This window comes from Homo sapiens, chromosome 1 (assembly GCF_000001405.40).
Source record: "Homo sapiens chromosome 1, GRCh38.p14 Primary Assembly".
Taxonomy (NCBI): domain Eukaryota; kingdom Metazoa; phylum Chordata; class Mammalia; order Primates; family Hominidae; genus Homo; species Homo sapiens.
Window position 1 is genome coordinate 180,241,500 of NC_000001.11, and position 21,981 is coordinate 180,263,480.

At 52.8% G+C, this 21,981-nt stretch overlaps 1 protein-coding gene across 4 annotated transcripts in view, besides 5 other annotated features; it reads left to right on the forward strand.

Annotated features, from left to right (window-relative positions):
- LHX4 (LIM homeobox 4) overlaps window positions 1-21,981 on the forward strand; it is a 50,610-nt gene that overhangs the window by 13,125 nt on the left and 15,504 nt on the right. For 3 of the 4 annotated variants that reach the window (XM_011510105.3, XM_011510106.4, NM_033343.4), the window contains exon 2: window positions 6,786-6,957. In XM_011510105.3, coding sequence (XP_011508407.1) covers window positions 6,893-6,957 — 65 coding nt within the window. In that variant the 5' untranslated portion in view covers window positions 6,786-6,892. Of the gene's footprint in view, window positions 1-6,785; window positions 6,958-21,981 lie in introns of those variants that run through there. The other variant, XM_011510108.3, reaches the window with a different exon arrangement.
- Window positions 2,867-3,614: an enhancer, noted in NCBI's record as "H3K27ac-H3K4me1 hESC enhancer chr1:180213501-180214248 (GRCh37/hg19 assembly coordinates)". NCBI's record gives its function as "activates a minimal SCP1, AML or CMV promoter by ChIP-STARR-seq in naive H9 embryonic stem cells {active_cell/tissue: H9 hESC(naive)}" and the evidence as "EXISTENCE:reporter gene assay evidence [ECO:0000049][PMID:30033119]".
- Window positions 6,847-7,347: an enhancer, noted in NCBI's record as "H3K4me1 hESC enhancer chr1:180217481-180217981 (GRCh37/hg19 assembly coordinates)". NCBI's record gives its function as "activates a minimal SCP1, AML or CMV promoter by ChIP-STARR-seq in naive H9 embryonic stem cells {active_cell/tissue: H9 hESC(naive)}" and the evidence as "EXISTENCE:reporter gene assay evidence [ECO:0000049][PMID:30033119]".
- Window positions 7,633-8,613: an enhancer, noted in NCBI's record as "H3K4me1 hESC enhancer chr1:180218267-180219247 (GRCh37/hg19 assembly coordinates)". NCBI's record gives its function as "activates a minimal SCP1, AML or CMV promoter by ChIP-STARR-seq in primed H9 embryonic stem cells {active_cell/tissue: H9 hESC(primed)}" and the evidence as "EXISTENCE:reporter gene assay evidence [ECO:0000049][PMID:30033119]".
- Window positions 12,463-12,982: an enhancer, noted in NCBI's record as "H3K27ac-H3K4me1 hESC enhancer chr1:180223097-180223616 (GRCh37/hg19 assembly coordinates)". NCBI's record gives its function as "activates a minimal SCP1, AML or CMV promoter by ChIP-STARR-seq in naive H9 embryonic stem cells {active_cell/tissue: H9 hESC(naive)}" and the evidence as "EXISTENCE:reporter gene assay evidence [ECO:0000049][PMID:30033119]".
- Window positions 16,440-17,209: an enhancer, noted in NCBI's record as "H3K4me1 hESC enhancer chr1:180227074-180227843 (GRCh37/hg19 assembly coordinates)". NCBI's record gives its function as "activates a minimal SCP1, AML or CMV promoter by ChIP-STARR-seq in naive H9 embryonic stem cells {active_cell/tissue: H9 hESC(naive)}" and the evidence as "EXISTENCE:reporter gene assay evidence [ECO:0000049][PMID:30033119]".

Here is a 21,981-nt window from a genome sequence, read left to right on the forward strand (position 1 = left end):
GCACTGTGAGGGCTCGGTGTTTTACATGCATTACCTGATGTGGCCATAACACAGCTACCTCGAAAGAGTGGTATGATTATCCCCATTTTATAGATATGAAAATCAAGGCTTGAAGACATTAAGCAGTTTGCCCAAGATCACATACAGGGTGGAATTAGGATCTGAGCTCAGGTCTGACTAGATCTGGGATTTATTGGCATTTGGAAGACCTAAAGATTTGCAGATCTAAACTCTGATCAGAACAGAAAACTTTCAAATTCTCCCAATATTTTTAAATTTTTGTTTTGATTTTTTTTGTTTTTGTGTTTTTTTTCTTTTTGTTTTGTTTTTGTTTTTGAGACAGAGTCTTACTCTGTTGCCCAGACTGGAATGCAGTAGTGCAATCATGGCTCACTGCAGCCTTGGACTCCTGGGCTCAAGCGATCCTCTTGCCTCAGCCTGCCAAGTAGCTGGGACTACAGGTGCACCCGACTATGCCTGGCGATTTTTTTTTTTTCTGTAGAGACAGGGTCTCACTATGTTGCCCAGGCTGATCTCCCAGTATTTTTGAGCCCTTTCCAAAAAAGTATTTGAAACAATGTTTCTACTTCCTTCTGCTTTTCTAGTTCACTCACTCCCTACTCTCCCCACTGCTTCAGGATTGGACAGCTCCCTCATTCGGCTAAGCCTTCCTTTCCACAGACAGAGCTTGATTTCAGAATTGGCTTTTTTTTTCCAGAGTGGCAATGCCTCATCCCATGTATGAGGATGTGAGTGCATGTGTTTGTGTGTGTGTGTGTACATGTGAGTATGTGTCTTTGAGTATATGTGAATATGCATGTACATTTGTCTGTACATGTGACTGGTACATGCATGTGCCTTTGTATATGTAGGAATGTATGTGTCTCAAGGTGTATCTTTATTTGTGATTGTGTTTCTCTGTATGTGTATGTACGTGTCTGTGTTATATGCATGTCTATGTATATAAGTATGGTGTGGGCGTGTATATATATCTGTGTGTATATATATATATCTGCGTGTATATTGAGTGTGTATGTGAGTGCGTGTGAGGATGTCTGTATGTGTTCATGCAGGTACATGTGGGCTTAGGTCTATGCCTCGACTATGTCCCTCTGCATGACTAGGAATGCTCTGGTGGGCGGGCCTTGCAGATGGGTAGTGTGTTGTTCTATGTGGTTTAGCATTTCCAAAGATTCTTTGGCTGTTCCAGGGACATTACTTTTTTGTTTCTGAGTTTACCCTCTGCAGAGCCCCAGCAGAGAGCATCGTCACGAAATGCTTATGGGCAGATAAGAGAAAAACTTTCATTTTAAGTGAAACGACTCCTCATATTGAGTTGATATTAATAGATCAAATTTTGTCTTTAGTGACTCCAAGCATCTATGTAAATTGCAGTTTTAATGTGGAATTTTGAGATACTAAATACTGCATGAAATACATTGAGCTTATTGGGGATTTGGAAATTGTCTTGCCCCTTGGAAATTTTGGTTACAACTTTCTTTCTTTTCTTTCATTTTTTTGCTCTGTCATCCAGGCTGGAGTGCAGGGGCGCTATCTGGGCTCACTGCAATTTCCACCTCCTGGGTTCAAGTGATTCTCATGCCTCAGCCTCCTGGGTAGCTGGGATTATAGGCATGCACCACCATGCCTGGCTAATTTTTGTTTTTTTAGTAGAGACGGGATTTCACCATGTTGGCCAGGCTGGTCTCAAACTCCCGGCCTCAAATGATCTGCCTGTCTCGTCCTCCTAAAGTGCCAGGATTACAGATGTGAGCCACTGTACCTCTGTAAGGGGAGGGGAGGGGAGGAGTTCTCCCCTCCTCTGCCCTGCAAGAGGAGGCCAAGGTAGTCTTCCTCGACGCCTCCTCCCTCAGGAGGAGGAGATCCGGTTCATGCACCAGAACTTTATTCCTGGTAGGAAACCTAGATAAACTCTGTCCTGTTTAGCCTTTCTAAACTGTAAAAATAATAATTTATTACAGGTTTAATTAAGAGGCTTATGTTGTTGCTCTTTGAAAAATTTCCAGATAGTTTATATTTTTTACTAATCTAAATAATTAAATAGGGGCCATGTTGCCTGGAGTGTGGGGTCTGAGTTCACAGGTCTCCACATCCTCACAAGTAGGGATGGGCGCCATCAACAGGCAGACACCTTGTAGCTGGGGGAGGAGATTGTGGACAGAGGCTGCTGCTTCCCGCCCTCCTGTGGACATTAGGCATCCATCCCATATGACACATGCACACTAGATGCCTGTGTCATCTCAGTTTTTGCCTCTAACATTTCCATTTACCCAGCTGTTAGGGAGCTCAAGAGGCCAGTGGTCTTATAATCCCTTGTTGCTGTACATGGAATCGTGTTGAGACTCTCTCTGCCACAATTTCCTATCTAAAAAAATGACAGGCTCAAGCCAAATAAGGGGATGGTTCAGGCCCCTTGAGCTCTCAGGTTGGGTTAGTCCATCTTCAGGAAAGCAGCAGCACAGTCTATTGGTTGGAATTCTGGCTCCCCCACCGTCAGCCTTGGGCACATCGCCTGATCTCGCGAAGGCTCAGTTTCCTCATCTGTAAAATGGGGATGATAATTCCTTCCTCGTTGAGAGTGGCTCACTGACGTAATACACACTCAAGCCCTGACGTGGCTCATAACAGGCTTCTGATGCCTGCGTGTATTACTGTGATTGGTATATTGGAGATCTTTTAGAGCATTTCCAAATTATCTTTGTTTAATCCCCCCGTCAACATCTACAGTGGAATAGAAAAGGTTTTTAATTTTTAACTTAAAGGGCACCCTTGGTAGGCCCCTTCCATTTTTGCCAAGCCAGAGGGCCCCGGTTTGGTCCCAAGGCCTCTCTGTGAGGACTTCTAATTTGGGCAGCCCAGAGTGACCCAGCGCGGATCCTTTCCTCCAAGCTCGAGGCTGAAACGACTTGTCTGTCTGCTTTTAGTGTTGTTCCTCAATGTGATGCTGTCTCTGCTTACAAGCCTCTAAAACTCCCCTGCCCACCATTCCCTGCATACATTAGCCCTAATGTATTCTCTCTTGAATACTCATCAGATTAAGGCTCCCACTAGATATCCTGCTCAAAATAAATTTTATGGGCATATATCCTCACCCTCATCCCATGTATTTGTGGCTGGGAGGAGAAATATAGCCAAATCTCTTCTCAGAGGGCTGGCCAAACAACAATTAGGTAGGAATCTGTGGCCCCTTTTGCCCAGGAGCCAAGGGAGGTGCAAGGAGTTGGGCTAGCTCCCAGCCTGCATGCCAAGGGCCAGAGAAGATGGTGCTTCATCTGGGTTCTCAAAGAGTTAATTGCCCCCCTGGGAGTCCAGCTCCTGGAAATCCAGATCACACAAAGAAGTCCCTGACCTGACTCCCAGGGCAGAGGTGCGGCTGTGCCACTGGGGCATGAAGCCCTCCCTGCACAGCTGTGCCTAGCAGCCTCCTGCCACGGCTGTGCCCCGCTGTCGGGGCTCAGTGGGCACACAGCACTGCCCTGTGGCACACAGCAGGCCTTGTTCACACATTCCTGCTGGCTCTGCATGCCCTTTGTACTTAACTCACTTCCCTGAGCTGGCAGGGCTTCCTGGTTGGGTCTCCCCTCCTCTCCCCTGCAAGAGGAGGCCTGGGCAGTCCTCCCTGACCCCTCCTCCCTCAGCCTTTCTTCTGCTCAGCAGACCGCAAGGGCACTGAACTCAGCTCATGCTGGAGAAACCCGCTCCCCCTTGCCCTTCATAACCCTCCTGACCTGAGTTGTCCCCTACTTTCTCCTGCTTCAGACTGGGGGGCGTCACACCAAAGGAGTTCCTGGCTATCCACCCTTCATAGACTGGTGGGCTCATGTGTCACCTCCTCACCAAGACCTTCCAGGGCCCTCCAGGGATTCCAGCCAGCCCCTGATGGCCCCTGATGGCCCCTGGAGGGAGACCAGGGGTGTGGCTGAGTGAGTACCTGCATGGGGCAGACAGGCATGGCCCCAAGCCGCTGGCATAATTGCTGTGTGAGGCGGCCACTCGGCCTCCACGGGAGAGTCATGACATCTCTGCAGGGATTCTTATGAGGGCTCCATAAGAAAATGCCCACGAACATGGGTGCCTAACTTGCCTTTCCGTGGGCATGACAGTTATCTCCTAATAATAGCAAGCCTGTCTTGAGCACCTACTGTATACCAGGGCCTGTCCTAAAAATTGTCCATGTGTCAATCCGTTTGCTCCTCACAACAATCCTACAGGCACTATTGTCATCATCACCCCCTTTTACAGGTGAGGAAACTGAGGCAGAGAGAGGCTAAGTCATTTTTCCAATTTAAAAAGCAGAGCCAGGATCCAAACCCAGGCAGCTGAGCTCCAGAATCCACATTCCCACCCCGTGTCCTGCCCATGCCCTCACTGGGTGGAAACCCCTGTGGCCGTCATTGTTCAGTACTTTGCTGGGCACAGTGGAACTCCTGGGTAAGTACTGATTGACTGGACTGCGTATTCCTCAAGGAGGAAAACTGTGGAGATAGAAAAAAAAAAAAGAATCCTGTATGTACTGGGACAATTAGCAAGTGGGACACCTGATAGTTTTCATGGGATATTTTGGTCTGAGAAAGGGGTCAACAGGCAAAGCATGTATACCAGGCCTGACTTCCACGCAAATACTGGTAGTGCTGGGGCCATGAAGGGAATAGGCTGGGGTTGGGGTTTAATTGGGCCCAAAGTTGGTACTTCTGTGTACAGGGCTAGTGATGGCATTTAGTGAGTGTCCCAATAGCCTATTTATAGGGTTTAAGTACAAACGTCTTAATAGTCAAGAAAGCCTTCTCTCTACATAGGTTTAGATGTGTTTAAAATTTTTCTTAGTACATTGAGGGTAATTCCTTTATGTTAACACTTTTTAAATTATATCACAACCAACAAATATGATATGAATCAAAAACATGTATGAGGCCAGGCGTGGTGGCTCACGCCTGTAATCCCAGCATTTTGGGAGGCCGAGGCAGGCGGATCACCTGAGGTCAGGAGTTTGAGACCAGCCTGGCCAACATAGTGAAACCCATCTCTACTAAAAATACAAAAAGTAGCCGGGTGTGGTGGTATGCGCCTGTAATCCCAGCTACTCAGGAGGCTGAGGCAAGAGAATCACTTGAACCCAGGAGGTGAAGGTTACACTGAGCTGAGATTGTGCCACTGCACTCCAGGCTGGATGACAGAGCAAGACTCTGTCTCAAAACAAAACAAAACAAACAAAAAAAACCCATGTATGATTCATGAGAGATTTGGTTTTACTGCTGTTGACATTTTGGAGTGTACAGGAGATACTAGTGAAAAGCTGTTTCAAGGTGAGCCTCTCAGACAGGATTTAATCAATTTATTATTTAGCGATAAACATCTATGGCATTACCCTTGTGTGCCAGGCACCGTGCTAGGCAGTGACCGTTTAGACAAACAACGAGCAAAGGTGTCTTTTATAATAGGGGTGGTAAACCCTGGGGTTGCCAGCCTCGTGAGTGCTGTATCAGGAGGATACTGTAGGAGGCCAAACGCTTGCACTTTTGTTTTTCTTCTTAATACTTGTTGATTTGTTACCTTCCTTTTTTGAAAAGCACAGGGGAAAATGGCTAGAGATCCTAGTACTGTTTGTTCATCCAACCACGGAAACCTGACCATTTTGTAGATGTTGAAACAGTCAGTGACTCAAAATACTATCAAATTCGCAAGCAATCCCTTGGAAAGATGGGATGGTGGAGAAACAGACCTCAGATAGGAAGTCACCCAGGACAGGAACCGGATGGGGCAGTGGTTAGGGTTCTGTTGCAGACAATAGAGTCTTCTTTCACTATTTAAGTGAAAAGTGATTACTCATCAGGTGGCAGGTGACTTTCAACTCAGTGGAGCCAGCTGGTTGGAGCTTCCAGGATAACTCTCAGCCCCCAGAATTTCACTGCTTCTGCTGTGACTGATCAGGACAGTGCAATACCCACCAAAGCACTTCATCGCCTCCGCCGTGACGCACACCAGCACAATGGGAGCCTGCCCCTCAGCTATCCTGACATTTAGCTCAGTTCTGAATTCAAGTCTTTCCCAAGAGCATTTGATTGGAAGACTCAATCATCTTCAAAATGTGAGCCGCTAGGGCATCTGGAAAAGCAGTTTCTAGCTTTCCTATCTGCAGCACCGGAAGGCACATTAGGATGAGGTATTGATCCAGCCAATCTATGGTATCAGTTGCAGTTCATTAAAATATTGAGATTTTCTCTACAAGAGCACACTCAGGCTTGGACCTTGATCACTGCCCGCCCCCTCCCCCACACCATATTTATCATTTGCTTTTCAGGACAGATGGCCTTTCAGTCCAGGCCTGGGCAGGGCTCACTTTGGGGGCTGATGTTTTTAGCAGAGCTTCCAATCACTTGTGAAAATGTCGTGGAAACAGAGGTGGATGTTGCTGAGCCTTCCTGGCCTGTTGGCTGTGGAACTGCAGCTGACATAAATGGGTTAGCTGCTGCTGCTAGCCTTGTGGTGCCCTTAGAAACGAGTGATTCCTCTGGGCCAAAGTCACCCCAAGCCAGAATCCACAGCCTGGCCAGCAAAGCAAGGGTTGGCTTTCAGTCCCCACTTGTTCCTTGACTACGTACGTTTGTGTGCAATGTATAACCTGTACAACTATATGCAACAGCTCTGCGGTTTGGGCCATGTCTGTTTCCACCATCAGCAGAGTGGGAAGGCACCCGCCAGGGCCTGGCCTGGTTAGCAGGGCTGTGTGGAAGGCTCACAGTGCCTCTCTCTCCTCTTCCTCACAGAGATTCCCCAGTGCGCTGGCTGCAACCAGCACATCCTGGACAAGTTCATCCTGAAGGTCCTGGACAGACACTGGCACAGCTCCTGCCTCAAGTGTGCAGACTGCCAGATGCAGCTGGCGGACAGGTGCTTCTCCAGGGCTGGGAGCGTCTACTGCAAGGAGGACTTCTTCAAGTAAGTCAGAACGGTCCGTCTCGTGGCCCTGGCCTGTCTCTGCCTCTCCCCAAGCAGTGAGGGGGAAGTTTGCAGCAGGGTAGGCCAGGGAGGGTGGAGAGTCCACTCTGGGAGGGGCAGGTAAATCCTGGAGCTGAGAGGATGCCCCTTGTTGAGGTCCCCCTTCTGATCACTGGCCCATCACTGCCAGAGGTTCAGCCTCTAGACCTCATTTGATCTCTGCATGGGGCAGGGGTGAGGAGCCAGAGGCCTTGGGCTAGATTTCTCCAGGGTGGTTGACAAAGTTCTGCAAATCTCCTCTGTTGCTCCAAAGAGCAACAGAAAGAGTTGCTCTTTCTGTCCTGATATATTGGTGCTTCAGGGCATGTGGTTGTAACATTCCCACAACTTTCAGAGCAGCTGCTTTTAGGTTCATGTCCACATCCAGAGGCGTCTCTGTGACTGTGTTTGCACAGCCTGCTTCAAGGGCCTTAGAGGCTTGCAAGAGTTGCTTCTGGCAGGAGGCAAGCCAGGCTCGGTCAATGTCGTCACTTTATATGGAAACATGACTAAGAAAGAGGCAGTTTCATGTGATGGTTGAGTCCAGGCTCTGCCTGTATTCGAACCCACTTATTGGCGGTGTGCTCTTGGGTAGGTTACTTAACTTCTCTATGCCTCAGTTTGTTTATCTGTAAAATGGGGCTCACAGTAGTAGTCCCTACCTCATGAGGTTTTTATTAGCTTTAAATAAGTCTATTTATGCATCAAGTCCTCAGGACAGTGCCTGACACTTGAGTGTTAGCTCTTAAGACTGTCTGAGATTTTCCTTTCTGGGGTGGGGTTCATCAAAAACTTCCTGTTGGAGCTTTGGATCAGGGTGAGAAGACCTCCTGGAAGGTGTTTTCCATGGCATTTAGTCCTTGACTTCTCTCCCAGAATCTATTACCCAAGGCAGTGATGTTGGTGCCTTAGCCAATGTGGAGCAGCTGGCAGCAAGCAAAGCCAAGAGCCGGAGGTGGGGGTTAGGGATCAGTGACGCTGAGCCCTGTGTTCAGTCACACCAGCCTGGGTGGCCCAGGGGGCGCCAGGGAGGCTCGCCAAAGGCTGAACACACCCAGCCCAGATAACCAAGCCCCATAGAGGCACCTCATGCTGAAGCTGTGTATTCGGAAGATGGGGGTTGAGGGGGAGTAATGGGGAGAAATGTGAGTCCTGGATACAGAATACGATTTCTCCCACATCTTCCCAAAGGTTTCACTATGGAGAATAAGTGATTTGAATATCTGAGGATTCTCACATTTCTTTAGTGCAGTGAGTTGAAGAGCACATTAAAGATCTTGGTAACCAGTGCGTGGGGCTGCCTCCCCGCCTGTGTGCAGAGGGTGCACTCACTGTCACCACGGTACTTTGCTCAGATATGTGCTGCTCCCTACGTGTGTGTGCGTGTGTGAGTGTGTGTATGAGTGTGTGTGTGACAGTGTGTGTGAGAGTGTGTGTGGGTGAGTGTTGTGTGAGTGTGAGAGTGTGAGTGTTGTGTGTGAGTGTGAGTGAGCGTGTGAATGTGTGTTGACTACAGGAAGGCAGGGGCAGCAGGTGACATGGGTGCCCGGCAAGTCCTTGATGTTTGGGTGGAAGGACAGACCTCTGGTCCTTCCTCTGAGCTTTTTGTGTACTGCTCTTCTTTCTCACAATCTTCCTGTTGCTTTCCCACCTCTGACCCTCCTCTAGTTTCCTTTTCTCTGGCATTCATGCAATTCCATTCCCTCTAGCCACATCCTTTCCCAGTGGGCAACAGGAGTTTGCCTCTATTTTCCTTCCTCTATGATGTCCTGGCCAAGCACCACAGCAGCTGTTACAGGACCCTGGGTGGAGTGAATTTCCCTGTGTTTGTGTGTGTGTGTGTGTGTGTGTGTGCGCGCGTGGGTTGACATATGTACCCGGGTGCAAATGTGAACATAATGTGTGTGTGAAGAGGGCAGGAAGCGGCAGGTGGCAGGGCCTAGCCTTGGGGTCGGGTGAGCTGCCCTGCTTCTGTGATGAGGTGTGTGCAGATGTGTATGCCTGCACCTTTGGAAAGCCAAGAGGCCACGCCTCCGCTTGCCCGTCTCGGGGCAGGGTAGGTGCTGGATGTCCGAGTCAGACCTCAGACCCCACTGGTTTCTGGCTGGTCCAGTGTGGCGGCTCAGGGAAGCCTGTGGGGTATGAGCAAAGCCTGGCAGGGCCACTGACCCAGGACTTCATCGCCAGAGGGCTGCCTTGGACCCCCCAGTGCTTCCTCAGGGCCCTGTCTGATTTTTGGACCCTGAGTGGCTGGCTATGGTTTGGAAAGAGAGGGTGGAGAGGAAGGTGATGGCAGCGCAGGCGTGGGGTTGGGTTTGGGAGAAGTAATGACCAGGAAAGAGGGTCTCCCTAGACCCAGGAAGCGCCCACAGTGTGTGCTGAGGAGGGATCCCCACAGGCCTATGAGCCAAAGGCCCAAGACCAGAAATAACAAGAACGGCTCCTCACCTGGGCCTTGCCCCTGGCTCCACTGCCCCAAGCCCTGGCCCTCTTTTGGATCCTTTCAGGGCCTTACTCAGCAGAAACCTTCTGGCTAGTCCCTCCACTCACCTCCCTGTAGTCTGCAACCCTTCCCACCCGGTGAGTCTTCCGCCAGGTGGGCCTTCCCGCCAGGTGAGCCTTCCACCCCACAGCCCAGGCCAGGGCCTGCCCCTTCCCTGAATATGCCACAGAGCCTGCCAGAGGCACTGGCGCATCAGAGCCTCCTGCCGGCGCTCCCTTCCAGTCCTAGCCCGCTGCTTTCCTCAGGTACCTGACGCCCACCAAGCAGGATGCTCCATTCCCAGGCATGCTTGGTGGGCTGCCGCCTCCACACGCCAGCCCAGGCTGTTTCATCCTCCAGGGACGGTGCCCACCCTCCAGGGCTTCCATCCTTCCAGGGTCCTCAGAGTCCAGCTCCGCGGCAGACAGGATCCCCAGTGGAGCCATCACTTCCTGTCTCTCCCCTCTCCCGGGTGACCCAGCACAGAATGCTTTGGTTTGCCCATTTCTCGTGTGCCTGGTTTATCTTCCTTGTTGGCTTGAGGAAAAGGCCTATCTGTTACTCATTTTTCTGTCCCCTGTGTAAGCCCCTGGCTCTGCGCTTTGTCCATAGGCCACTGCTGGGTTTGATGCTGCAACAAGTAAATTATCCAGTGAGTTTACACGAGCTTTGGTGACCAGTTTCTTCTGTATGCTGCAAGGCGTCTTTGAGTGAGGGAGGCCCAGGCTGCTTGCAAATGCTCAGGCCCATCATTTAGCCACGGTCACTTCCCTTGTTCCCGGCACTGCTCTGCTTCATGAAATGACCTACTCTCAGGGCTGGGTCCTTCTGTAATGCAGGGCATCTGGCCACGGATTCAGTGCTGAGTTTGGGCCATTGACTCTGTGATGGGGTGCTGTGAGGAGGGGAGTTCAAAGCTGAAGTGATTCTCCCTCCTGTCAATGGAGGGCCAACCCGAGATGAAGACCAGGTGGCTCTGAAGTCCTCAGTGGGTGGATTCATAGCCCTCACCAAGCTCTTGGGGACCAGGGCTGTTTGGTACAGGAAGGCACAGCTGCAGGCTCCATCCTAGGTACAGACAGGGAGGCAGCAGGCTGTCCAGCATCTGAGTGGTCCCACCTCCCATCCCCAGGGGTCTTGGGACTTGCTGGCCACCTGGGGCTCTGGGGCAGCCTGCTCCTCATCCCATCTCATTAGATGTCACCAGGCACCTCTTTCAGAGGGCACATGGGGGCACACACACAGTGGAGGTGCAGTAAGGACAGAGACCGTGCTGGGGCAGGAGGGGGCAAGCAGTCCGTGGAACCCCAGGTCCCTCCCTGGCTCACCCTCGGCTATAGAAGTCACATCTGTGGCCACCTTGTGAGAGGGACAGCAGGTGCCACATACTTGAATTTGCCCATCAGACCTCTGATGCTCTTAGCTGTGGAGTTTGGAAGACAGCTGGTCAGAGCTAGGGAGAGTCCCTTTTCCACGCTCCTTGAAGAAAAAGAAAAAAGAAAAAGCATGTCCTTTTCTGGTACCTCCTCCTAGCCCTGTTCAGAGGTGGGGGCAGGGCTCATTGGTTCCCTGATTAGCACTGTGGTCCTAAGTTCCTGGATCAATACTTTAATCTCTTTGCCCATAACAAGGAAGAGGGCCACTGCTTTGCACAACTCCAGGGGGCATCCTCCTGTCATATTCTATGTGAAGTTCTGCAGATCAATACGGAGATACGGAGAGTACCCACTGGAGGTGGGTAGTACCTTGTAATATCTCAAAAGTGGAAGGAGGCCGGGAGGTCAGGACTTCCCCAGCCTTCCACAGGGGCATGTGGCGATCCTGGTAACTGGCAGCAGGGGGCGATGTTGGTGTGGACACAGAGGAGGCAAGAAGGATTGTTGGGAAATTGTACTCTGTGGTTGTTGCATTTTTCTTTGGGGGCTGTTGAGCTCTGTCTTGCTCAGTAACACTGACTGATTTTTGCTGTTGTTTGTTGTTTTTGCTGCTTGTGTCCTTGGCTCTCCTTTTTTCCAAACGAAATAAAATTCTGAGACCCAAGAAGAAAGGCACTGAGTTGACTAAGGGAGCACAGTGGGGACCATGATTTGTTCTGAGTTCAGTGGCGGCTTCAAACATCAGGAGAGCCCACCCCTGGTGCAGAGGGTGTCCCGAGCCCTGTTATAATTTGAATCCCAAGCTGCGGGGCAATGACTCCTCGTGTCGCATTTGCTAAGCAGGTCCTATCCAGACCATGTGTCCAGCATGTCATGGATCCTTCTCATGTCTCCTCAAAAAGGGACCAGGGCCCAGAGAGAGTAGGGATCCAGGAGTGGGGTTTCTGGGTCCCCTTGCTATCACCAGGTGGGTCCTGGAAGGAGCCAGGCAGCTGCCTTCCTCTGGAGCACAGCACAGACCTCTTGGAGCTGGGTTCAAGTGTTGCCTGTCGGCAGCCAGCTGGGTGCCCCTAGGCAAGTTTCTTTGCATCTCTGAGCATCTATGTCCTCTTCACAGTGCCTGTCTAAGAGCCCTGGCACCCAGGAGCATTTCTCAAAAGGAGTGATTTTCTCAGCAGTGATTTTCCTTTTGGTGAACCCAAAAGGAGCTCAGTTGAATTCCTGTCCTATCTTTCGTTAGCAGTTTGTCAGCACAGGTAACTAGGTCTTTCTGAGCCTCATTCCCTTGTCTGTGGAGAGGAGCTCACGCTAACCCACCGAGCTAGGAAGAAGACGTGTGTGACCCGGGTCCAGCAGAATGCTAGGTGCTTTGTAAACACTGCCGGGTTTCAGGCCCTGCCGTGTGGCCCCTTGACCCGCAGCCCTGCAGGGTCAGGTAGTCAGAGTTCCCTCAGGGCGGGGCCTGCGCTGGCTTTCCTGGTCTCCCCTGTACCAGCCTTGAGAGCTTCCCATGGAGATGACTCTTAACTGCCTGGAGCTCCTCAGTTAGTGGGGGGTTAGCCTGGCAGAACGGGGTGGGCTGTGGTCCATGGGAGAAACCTGCCATGTGGATCTCTGTGAAGAGTTGAGAAACAAACCATTATGGAGTGAAAACAAACAGAGCTGTGGAATTGAAGCGAGGGCAACGTTCCTACACGTTTGTAAGGTCAAGGGCAAAGCCTTCAAGGACAATCCAGGCTTGTGGGGGCTTCAAGCTGTGCCCCCAGCCACTGGGGCTCCATATTTCCATCTGCCCGTCAGGGGGCGTGGAGTGACTCTCGGGTGTTCTGAGGGTGCTGCCACTCCAGGAGGTTCCTGTCTAAAACGTCATGCTTCTCAGGGGTCTCCCTGCCCCTGAGGCCCTCACAAGGCAAGGCAGGCAGGCAGAGATGGGTGCGCCAGAGGCTCCCGGTAGCGGGATGGAGGCCGCTGTGTCGCAGGGGAGCTGTGCGGCTGCTGGGCCAGGCCAGGATCTCCCTCTGCTCCCCGCGGTGCCCCTCCCCCAGCCTGCCAGTCTGCAGGCCGTAGGTGGGCTGTCCGCCAAGGGCAGGTAGGCAGCGTCCTTGGGAGCCCGGGAGCTGCTCCCATTTATCTCCGCAGTCCAGAACAGCGCATTTCTGCCTGGCGTGGCTGCAGGGTGGTGGTGCTGGCTGCAGACAGGGCTTCACTGGTGACCTTAGCCCACTCTGGTGACCAGGGCCTCTGCTCCTCATCTTGCAGGGGGCAGCTGCCCACAGGACATTGGCTAATATGGGGAAAAACAGGCTCGACCCCTCTGCGGGGTGGGCTTCATGGAGAGCAGGTGCGGGGTTTTGAGTCCAGGCTCAGCGTGAACTTGGGGCGTTAGACATCACCAAGCCTCGCTTTCCCATCTCTACAGGCGGAAGAAAAATACTGACTTTTCTGAGTGACTGTGAGGACTGAGTCAGAAGCAGCAAGGAAGTGCTTAGTCCATTCTTAGGAAGGCCATGAGGGGCATCTACACTGTGCCCCACATAGGGAGGAGGAAAGAAGACAGCAGGAGGGCCTGGGACCAGGCTGGCAAGGACGGGGTCCTGGGGTTGCTGGCCAGGCTGTGTCAGTGGTAGTGGTGGTCAGGGGATTGAACAAAGGCCCACCCTTCAGTGAGGAGCCGGCCTGCATTTTCCTCATGGGATGCTCTCCCTCCCTGTGTGGTCCAGAGCTGTGGGCAGGAACCGCAGCCCTCAGCGCTCGCTCGCATCAAAGAGCGGGGCCAGCCTGGTGGGAGGCGGCAGCCCGCGCCTGGGTGGCTTTCCACTGTCTCAAGCTTTCTTGTGCCCTGTTGCCCCAGAAAGAGGCAGCCTCAGTTCTGGGGTTGGTCGTAGAGTCAGTGTGGAGTCAGACTTTTGCTGAGCCACTTATTATTTCTGATAACCACACACCTGCCAGGCCATGCAGGCATGATCGTGCGTACACACACACATGCACACATGCACACACATGTATACACGCACACACACATGCATACACACACGCACACACGCGTGCACACACATGCACACACACAGTGCTCTAGCAGAATGTGCTTAAGGAATGCACAGGGGTGTGTCTCTTTGATGTGTGACTTTCCATAATTTCTGAATAGTTTATAGTCTAATTTCCTCGCTAAGCAAATTAAACCTTTTAAGGTAACGATCAGATGGTCCGGATAGTGGCTGTGCGTGTGGACATTTGAAAGATTCAAACACACTGGTGGGACCAGGCCCACAGTCATTTGTGCCGGCCTGTAATCAAGGCAGAAGCAATTACTTAGCCCCGAAGCTCCCCCAGGGACCGAGGCTGTAAATCAGGAGGTGATGAGTCGGAGGAGGATTGTCTGCCCGCCCCAGAGCGTGCAGTTCAGCTGCAGTCGCCTGGGCCACCCTCCCCGAGTGGGGCCTGGGGTGAAGGCCTCCTGACATCTGTGGAAGACACATCTCAGGGACTTTCTGGCTTAGAGGAATCTGTTTGGAATCACCTAGCTGCAAATTAGTCTGGGGATCAGATGCATCTGGGCTGTGGAAACGGGGTCCCCAGTGGGATCTGGGTGACATGGGAGTGGAAGCTGTGGGCAGCCCTCTTTTGGCCCAGGCACAGCACAGCAGCCAGCGGCACCTGCCTTCCCTCCGTTGCTGAAGATCGGTTTCCTCTCCTCACCCCTACCCTGGCCATTCAGGTGCCATGCCATGGGGTTCACCACTCCAAAAGGCCCTCTCTGGACATTCCTGCAGCCTCTGTGCCTTCAGGCCCTTGTCTTTGGGCCTCTGCACCACTGTAACTTCTCTAATTGTGGTCCTTTCCCCTCCTTCCCTCCTCAGCCCGTCTGGCTCTTCCCTCCGCCCATCTGGTCACGTTGTCCCCATTGCATCCTGGCTGGGCATTCAAGGGCCCATGATCTGGCTCAGCCTTACTCCCTGCTGGTCCTCTGGCCAAGGTCACACCAGGGTCCCATTAGAGCCAGTGTCTAGTTTGTCACTCTGGTCCCCGGAGGCCTTCGTGTCTCTGGAAGCCCCACTCTGAGAAGCCACGAGCTTCTCCACAGGGCTGGTCTCTGGTGGGCACTGTGGATGAGACAGCAGGTCAGCCTGGGGGCCTCTCTCCCACACACCCATTCCAGTTCCTGCGGGTGTCTGCCATGCGCCGTCTGGAGAATGAGGCCCTCAGTCTTGAGGGACTTTGGGACTCTGACAATTGATGAGTGACCTGCAGATGCCCAGGTGGGCTAAGAGCATAGGTGACAGGATTTCTGTAGGAGTGGTCTGTGCCACCGCTGCACTGGGCCATCCGTGGGGCTGGAAAGTGTGGGTTCTGGGCCCCAAAGTGGGAGTCAGGGGTGGCTTTTCTCTCAGTAAGCACCCCCGATGCGTCTCCCGCTCGGGGGAGTTTGCTCACAGCTGAGCTAGCAGCTTGGCAGAGGCTGATTGGCCTGTAGTGAGAAGGGCAGATGAGGTGCTGCGGGAAGTAAGGGAGAGGAGGGAGGGTGACCTTGGGCCAGGCAGCTGACTGCTCCAAGCCTGTGGCTGTCAGAAAGAAGGGAATACTAATCCCTCCCTACAAGGGCAGGTGTGTGGTTTGAATGAGATGCCTCGCATGAAGTTGCCTGGTGCATATGACATGATCCGTGCTTGTTTACAAAAACACCTGGTGGTCTGGACTCTTCTAGAAGGGATTCAGGTCCTGCACGTCCCGTTGCCTCTTCAAGGAAATCTGCCCCCAGCAGGGAAGGAGAGGACTTGAGGCCAAATGGACGGGAGAGTTGGGCTCTCGTCCACTTCCTGCCATGGATGGAGCTGTGTGATCTTGGGCAAGTCACTGCTTGTCTCTGGGCCCCCATTTCCTCCTCTGTGAAATTAGGGCCTTGGACTAGGTCACTGGTTTTAAAGCTTTTCCAGCAGCATTCATCTCAACATGATAATATCGAATATTCTTTAAAAATAAAAACATTAGATTAAAATCCTGATAAAAAGCAGATTGCTGAGGGGCTGTTCCCATGGGCTGGGAGGTATATGTGTGAATGTGTGCATGTGACATGGGGGCTGTGTCCCCAGCCCCCGAGGCTCTAAGATTCTCTGGTGTCAGGCCTTCTCCAAATAGGACCCCCGTCTGTGTCTGGAGAAGGCTGCCCATTCTGGGGCAGAACTTTATGTGCCCATGACATGGCTGTGGCCTTAGAGTGGGCGGTGATATATGTTGGAAATATTGGTACATACAGTAACAGTAAATATCAGCAACTTTCCTGTCAAGTGTGGTGATAGATAAAAGAAATACATGTAGGGAAGTGTCAGCTGGGAAAAAAATATACGGCCAGCAGTAAATCACCGCCAAGCAATTAAAGCATAAAATCAACTTGTGCAGTATTTTGTTTCCTCAGGACGGTGCACCGTTCCATGGCAGCTCCACGCACAGGAGGCTGACATGGGTCCTGGGCTGGTCCCCACCGACTGCCTTCAATAGCCAAGAGTAAGGAAGACATCCCAGAGGAGAGGCACTGAGTTCAAATCCCAGCTCCACCGTTTGTCTGTGAGGTCTGGGGCAGTTACTAACCCTCTCTGAACTTCAGTGTCCTCATGTCCAAATGAAGAACAGGCCTTCAAGCATTGCGCAGGACTGGGTCACTCACTGATTTATTCATCATACATGCACTGAGCACATATCGTCAGCCAGGTCCTGCTCTGGGTGCTGGATTCAGTAGTGAACAAGACGGATAAAGACCCTGCTGTTGCAGAACTTGCCTTCTAGAGAGGGGGAAACAGGGTCAGCAAGAAATAAGTGCACAGCGCATCTACTGAGATGAGTGCTGTGGAGCAGGGAAGGAAGTGCTGAGGGGGAGGGGTCCAGGGGTGTCCCCCTGAGCAGGTGACATTTCAGGGGACCACTGCAGGAAATGCAGGTACCTGGGGGGAGAGCGTGCCAGCAGGGAAGCAGTGCCCGGGCCCCAGGAGGAGGCGGAGTGGACTGGGCAGTGGAGGAGGGAGGGTGGAAAGGCGATGGCGCTGGGATGCCATAGTGCCTTGGTGGCCGTTAGGGAGCCTGTGGCTTTGACCCTGAGTGAGGTAGAAGCCACTGGAAGGTTTCAGCAGGGGAGGGCGAGGGTGTGACTTAGGCCCACTGTGGCGACCATGTGCAGAAGTGCCTGTAGGGGCATGGGCGGAAGCGGGGAGACTGTTAGGAGGCAGCTGTAGGTGCTGGCTGATGGCAGCCCAAGCTAGGGAAGGCGGTGTGGGTGTGAGAAGTGGTCCCCAACATGATATAATTTTGAGTAGAAGCTGGGCGTGGTAGTTCACTTCTATTGTCTCACCTACGCAGGAGGCTGAGGCGGGAGGATCTCTTGAGCCCAGGAATTCAAGCTTGCAGTGAGCTGTGATTGCACCACTGCACTCCAGTCTGGGCAACAGAGCGAGACCCTGTCTCCAAATAATAATAGTAATAATAATGATAGTAATAATAATTATTATTATTCTGAGTAGAGTCAACAGGATTTGCTGACAGATCAGATGGGGACGGATGCCCAAAGGTTTTGGCCTGAGCTGTGGGAAGAATGAAGTTACAGTGGTCTGAGATGGGAAGGGCTATGGGAGGAGCAGAGGGTGCGGGGGGTGTTGGTAGGAGTTTGGTTTTGGACTCCAAATCCATGTGCTGTAGAGGCAGTGGAGCCCCAGTCTGGAGCCCAGGGGTCTGGGCTGGAGGTGAGATCCCCAGGGGAGCGGGGTGGGCAGAGAAGAGGTGTGGGAGGAGGAGGAGCAGGAGCAGAGGAGCAGAGGCCGGAGAGCACAGTGTAGGAGGCAGCGAGCAGGTGTGTTGGGAGGCTTGGGAGGCCAGGGAGAGGGGAGCTGACCGCTGGGCTGCAGCACAGCTCTGGTTGGGTAGGGCACTGCCTTGAAGGGTGCAGGAAGTGGGCAGTATAGAAGGGAGGCAGGCAGGGATCATAGAATGCCTGTACATGGATGGAAGGAGCCAGCAGAGGTGAAGCTAATGACACAGAAGGCAAAGGGGATGGTTGCTGGGAGTCTCATTACGTGAGAAGGAATGAGCTGTGTCTGGTGGAGGTGCATGGTTCACCTGTGGGTGGCAGGCAGGGGCTGGGGCCCCGGGTGTGCGAGTGGAAGGCACAGTGGGAGGTGGGGAGGGTCCAAGCCGGGCTTCCCTCTTCCATGGGAAATGGGAGGGCGCCAGCAGCTGAGCCTGGGGCTCAGTGGGGGAGCGGGTGGGAGGTGCATTCTGACCCCCGGCCCCCGAGGCACCATCAGTCCGGTGGGCAGGGGCTGCTTTCCTGGCTCTGTGGATGCCCGTGCTGGGGTGGGGCAGGCGCAGGGCGGAGAGAGGGCAGGGTCCAGGGTGTGTGGGGAGGGACAGGTGGGATCGCCCTGGGGTCTGCTGGGTAAGGAAGGAGGGAAGCGAGGGACAGTGACAAGCCCAAGGGGAAGGGCAGTCCCTGGGTTGTGTGAGTCAGTGCCCTGGGGAGCTGGAAGAACAGCGGGGTCCAATGGTGGGAGGGTTGGAAGTGACCCCTGGAGCTGTGGCAGTTGCTGGTAACAACAAGGTCTGGGGGAGTGAGCGGTGGGAGGGAGGGTAGAGGCCACAGCCTTCAGGAGGTCAAAGAATTGAGAGGGAGGGCCTGGAAGGATGGTCTATGTGGGGACTGCAGTCACCAAGGGTGTGGTGGGAGTGAGGGTGAGCCTGAGTTAAGTCACCCAGGCGGGAAGCAAGTGGAGCAGGGTGGCAGTGCAGCCACGGGGTGAGTGCCGGGGCATTGGGCTGAGGGCTGGAGGTGAGGGTCGGATGAGATCACATGTGCAGGGCCCACTCTGCACAGGACACAGGTTGGTGCTAGGAGAATGGCAGCTGCCTTTATTACCAGCGTCTCAGTGACCCACTTGTGGTACATCATGCGGGTCTGCTCAGAGGTCGGAACTTACCATCAGGAATGTGCCAGACAGCCAGGGTGTAGGATTTATGCACCCCTGGTTCTAGAAGGCTCGGTCCCTGCAGGGCCTGCCTGCTGCCCCCTTTCTACAGGGTCCAGACCCTCAAGCCTGTCTTGCACTGGTGAGCAGCCCAGCCAGGTGGTCGGGAGCAGCAGGGGTGGACAAATCAACAGCAGCAGGAGCTCAGGCGGAGCTCAGGTGCAGAGGCTGGGACCCAGCACACAAGACCTAGTCCTCTCCTGGGGTCCAGAGTGGCCCATGAGAGTCAGCCGAGAAGTCTCAGCTCTTCTCTGCCCACACCTGGGCCAGCCGGAGGATGTGGAAGGTGGACAGCGGGCCAATTACATGTGTTGGGGTTAACACACTGGGGGGTGAGGGCTTCCCTGGCCACCCCAGCACTGCAGGGCTGGGAGCCTCATGCAGGGGGCTCAGAGCCACATGAGGGGGACAGGCCCTCTCCTCGAGCTCCAGCCTAGGTCAGGGCACCAAGGCCGGGTTTGCTGCCCTTGAAGCCCGCCGCATGTCCGCTGTGTTGTGTCAGAAGCACCGACTGCAAACCCCGGTTCTCTCGCTCGTTGCCCTTGGGAGCTAGGGGTCGGCACCTCACCTCTCTGAGCCCCAGTTCTTATCTGTTAAAAGGTGTCACAGTACCCACCTTTCAGGCTAGGAGCTCAGGAGACAGTCTGGAGGCAGTGTGATGGCGACAGCAAGTGGGATGTAAAGTCTTGTGGTTTAGTAAACCATGGGCCTCATTTCAACCCGGGACTTAATGCCCTTCTTAGAAAAGCTTTTGGCTGGGCACAGTGGCTCACACCTGTAATTCCAGTGCTTTGGGGGCCAAGATGGGAGGAGGCGGCGAGCAGGTGTGTCGGGAGGCTCGGGAGGCCGGGGAGAGGGGAGCTGACCGCTGGGCTGCAGCACAGCTCTGGATGAGTGGGGCGCTGCCCTGAAGGGTGCGGGGAGTGGGCGGTAGAGAAGGGAGGCAGGCAGGGATCATAGCATGCCTGTACATGGATGGAAGGAGCCAGCAGAGGGGAAGCTAATGACAGCAGAGGCAAAGGGGATGGCTCACACCTGTAATTCCAGTGCTTTGGGGGCCAAGGTGGGAGGATCACTTGAGACCAGGAATTCAAGGCCAGCCTCGGCAACATAGTAGGACCCAATCACTACAAAACATGTCTTAAAAAATGAGCTGGGCATGGTGGCATGTGCCTGTGATCCTAGCTGCTCAGGAGGCCGAGGTGGGAAGACTGAGAGTTCGAGTGCAGTGAGCTATGATTGTGGCACTGCACTCCAGCCTGGGCAACCGAGTGAGATCCCCTCACCCCTAAAGAAAAGAGCTTAAAACTGCTTCTCTGCTCTGAGAAGCACAACTAACTGCCTTCACTGAAATATACCTCAGGCAGAGATTTGGGGTGAGATAGTAGGTCAGTTGATGTTCTGCAGGAAGGGGCAGCTTGTCCATATCAGCTCGCTCACGCCGCCAGTCCATTCTTAAGGAACTGCCAACCAGGACTGATGATGCATTTTAGCTTTGAGCTTTTGGGGGTTATCCTACCAACAAACAGTCCTTCGGGAAGAAAACAATCCCAGGAATTAACAGATCAGAATGTTCACACTGGTTAATCTTTTTCTAGCAATGAACATGAAGCTAGCAGAAGCTGGTGTGTTTCCAGATGGTTCCTCTAACCAAACTAATTTTTCACTGTTGACAAGTGAGGCAAGGGTTGCACTGGACCAAAGGCTGAGGCTTGGCCATCTAGCATTCCATGCAAAATGGTTTCCTATAAGCATTCCTTTTATTCTCTATTCTATCCTGGGTCTGCCTCAACCATGAGATAGGAGAGTCTCCGGTACTAGCTGCTGTAGCACTGCCCTTCATCCAGGACAGTTAAAGGAGTCTTGGACCTTTCTTTCTCTGGGATCGCTGCCCAGCACCTTCCTACAGAGATGACTTTGAAAGGAAAAAAAAAAAAAAAAAAAGGAAAAACAGCACACCATTCCAAGGAGCCTGGCATTCCTGAATCCTCCTTCCCTACAAGGTGCCTGTCACCTGTCTTTACTGCCTCCTTTTCCCTGTCATGCTCATCAGCTATGGCTTCTGTCCAAGTGCCTGAACAGAAGACTAGAACCTCCACTGCAGGCTGGTTTGAGGTCGTGATTTATGTCAGAATCTTGCACAGCACTGCTAATGTAAATTTCAGCTTTTTCCCTCTAGGATAAACACTTACCAAAGTATGCAACTTTTTTTGGTGGGAAGAGGGATTGTCCTGTGATTTCTACCCATTTTCTGAGGCCTGTGGAAATAAATCTTTAGGTACTTAAAGTTAGACCAAAAATAGAACAAAGTTAATACCAAACTTGAAAAAAAAAAAAAAAGAAAAGAAAAGAGCTGCCATTATGGAGAGCCAAGCCTCCCCTGACTACTCAGGCAAATGTTTTAAGAAGCAGTTCGTTCGTTCACTCATTCGTTTGCTCATTCGTTCATTCATTCATTCATTCATTGGGTCTTTGTGGCTTGCCTACTATGTGCTGGGCAGGGATAAGACAATTTCCAGTGGTGTTGGTTAGAGGATGAAAATAATATGAGCCATTAGCAAGTCTTCCTTGCATTTTCTCTGTGGTTTTGGATCAGCTCCAGCTGCTCTCCTGGGGGGACTGGTTGTCCCCAGAGGCCTGGCTAGCAGGACTGGGCAGCAGGCTTATCTTTCTGAAGGGTGAGGCCAGTGCCCTTGGTGCCCCTGCATGGGTGCCCGGTGATCGGTGTTAAGGGGTGCTGCTTGGAAAAGCCCTTGGGAGCCCTCTTCCTTGGCTGGAGTCCAGCCTTTCCCTCTTTACCCCAGCGTCCTTCATATTTGGTCCAGTTGGTTAGACTTCTGGTTCTCTGTGTAGCAGCCGGGTTCACAGTTTTACCTCGTGTGGGGCCAGGGAATTCTAGGCATGACCGTGTGTCTCATTATTGCCTGTCGCAGGGCAAGTCATGTGACCTGCCAGGCTTTGGCCTTCTCACCTGTGACTCTGGCTATTCTAAGATCTGGGAATGGGGACAGTGTCTCCATCACAGACACACCCCTGTAGGATGCCCTGTATTCTAGATACACTGGCTCTGACTGGAGATGGGGTGGAGGGTGATCTGCAGGGCTGGGCTGGGCCGGGGGAGCCT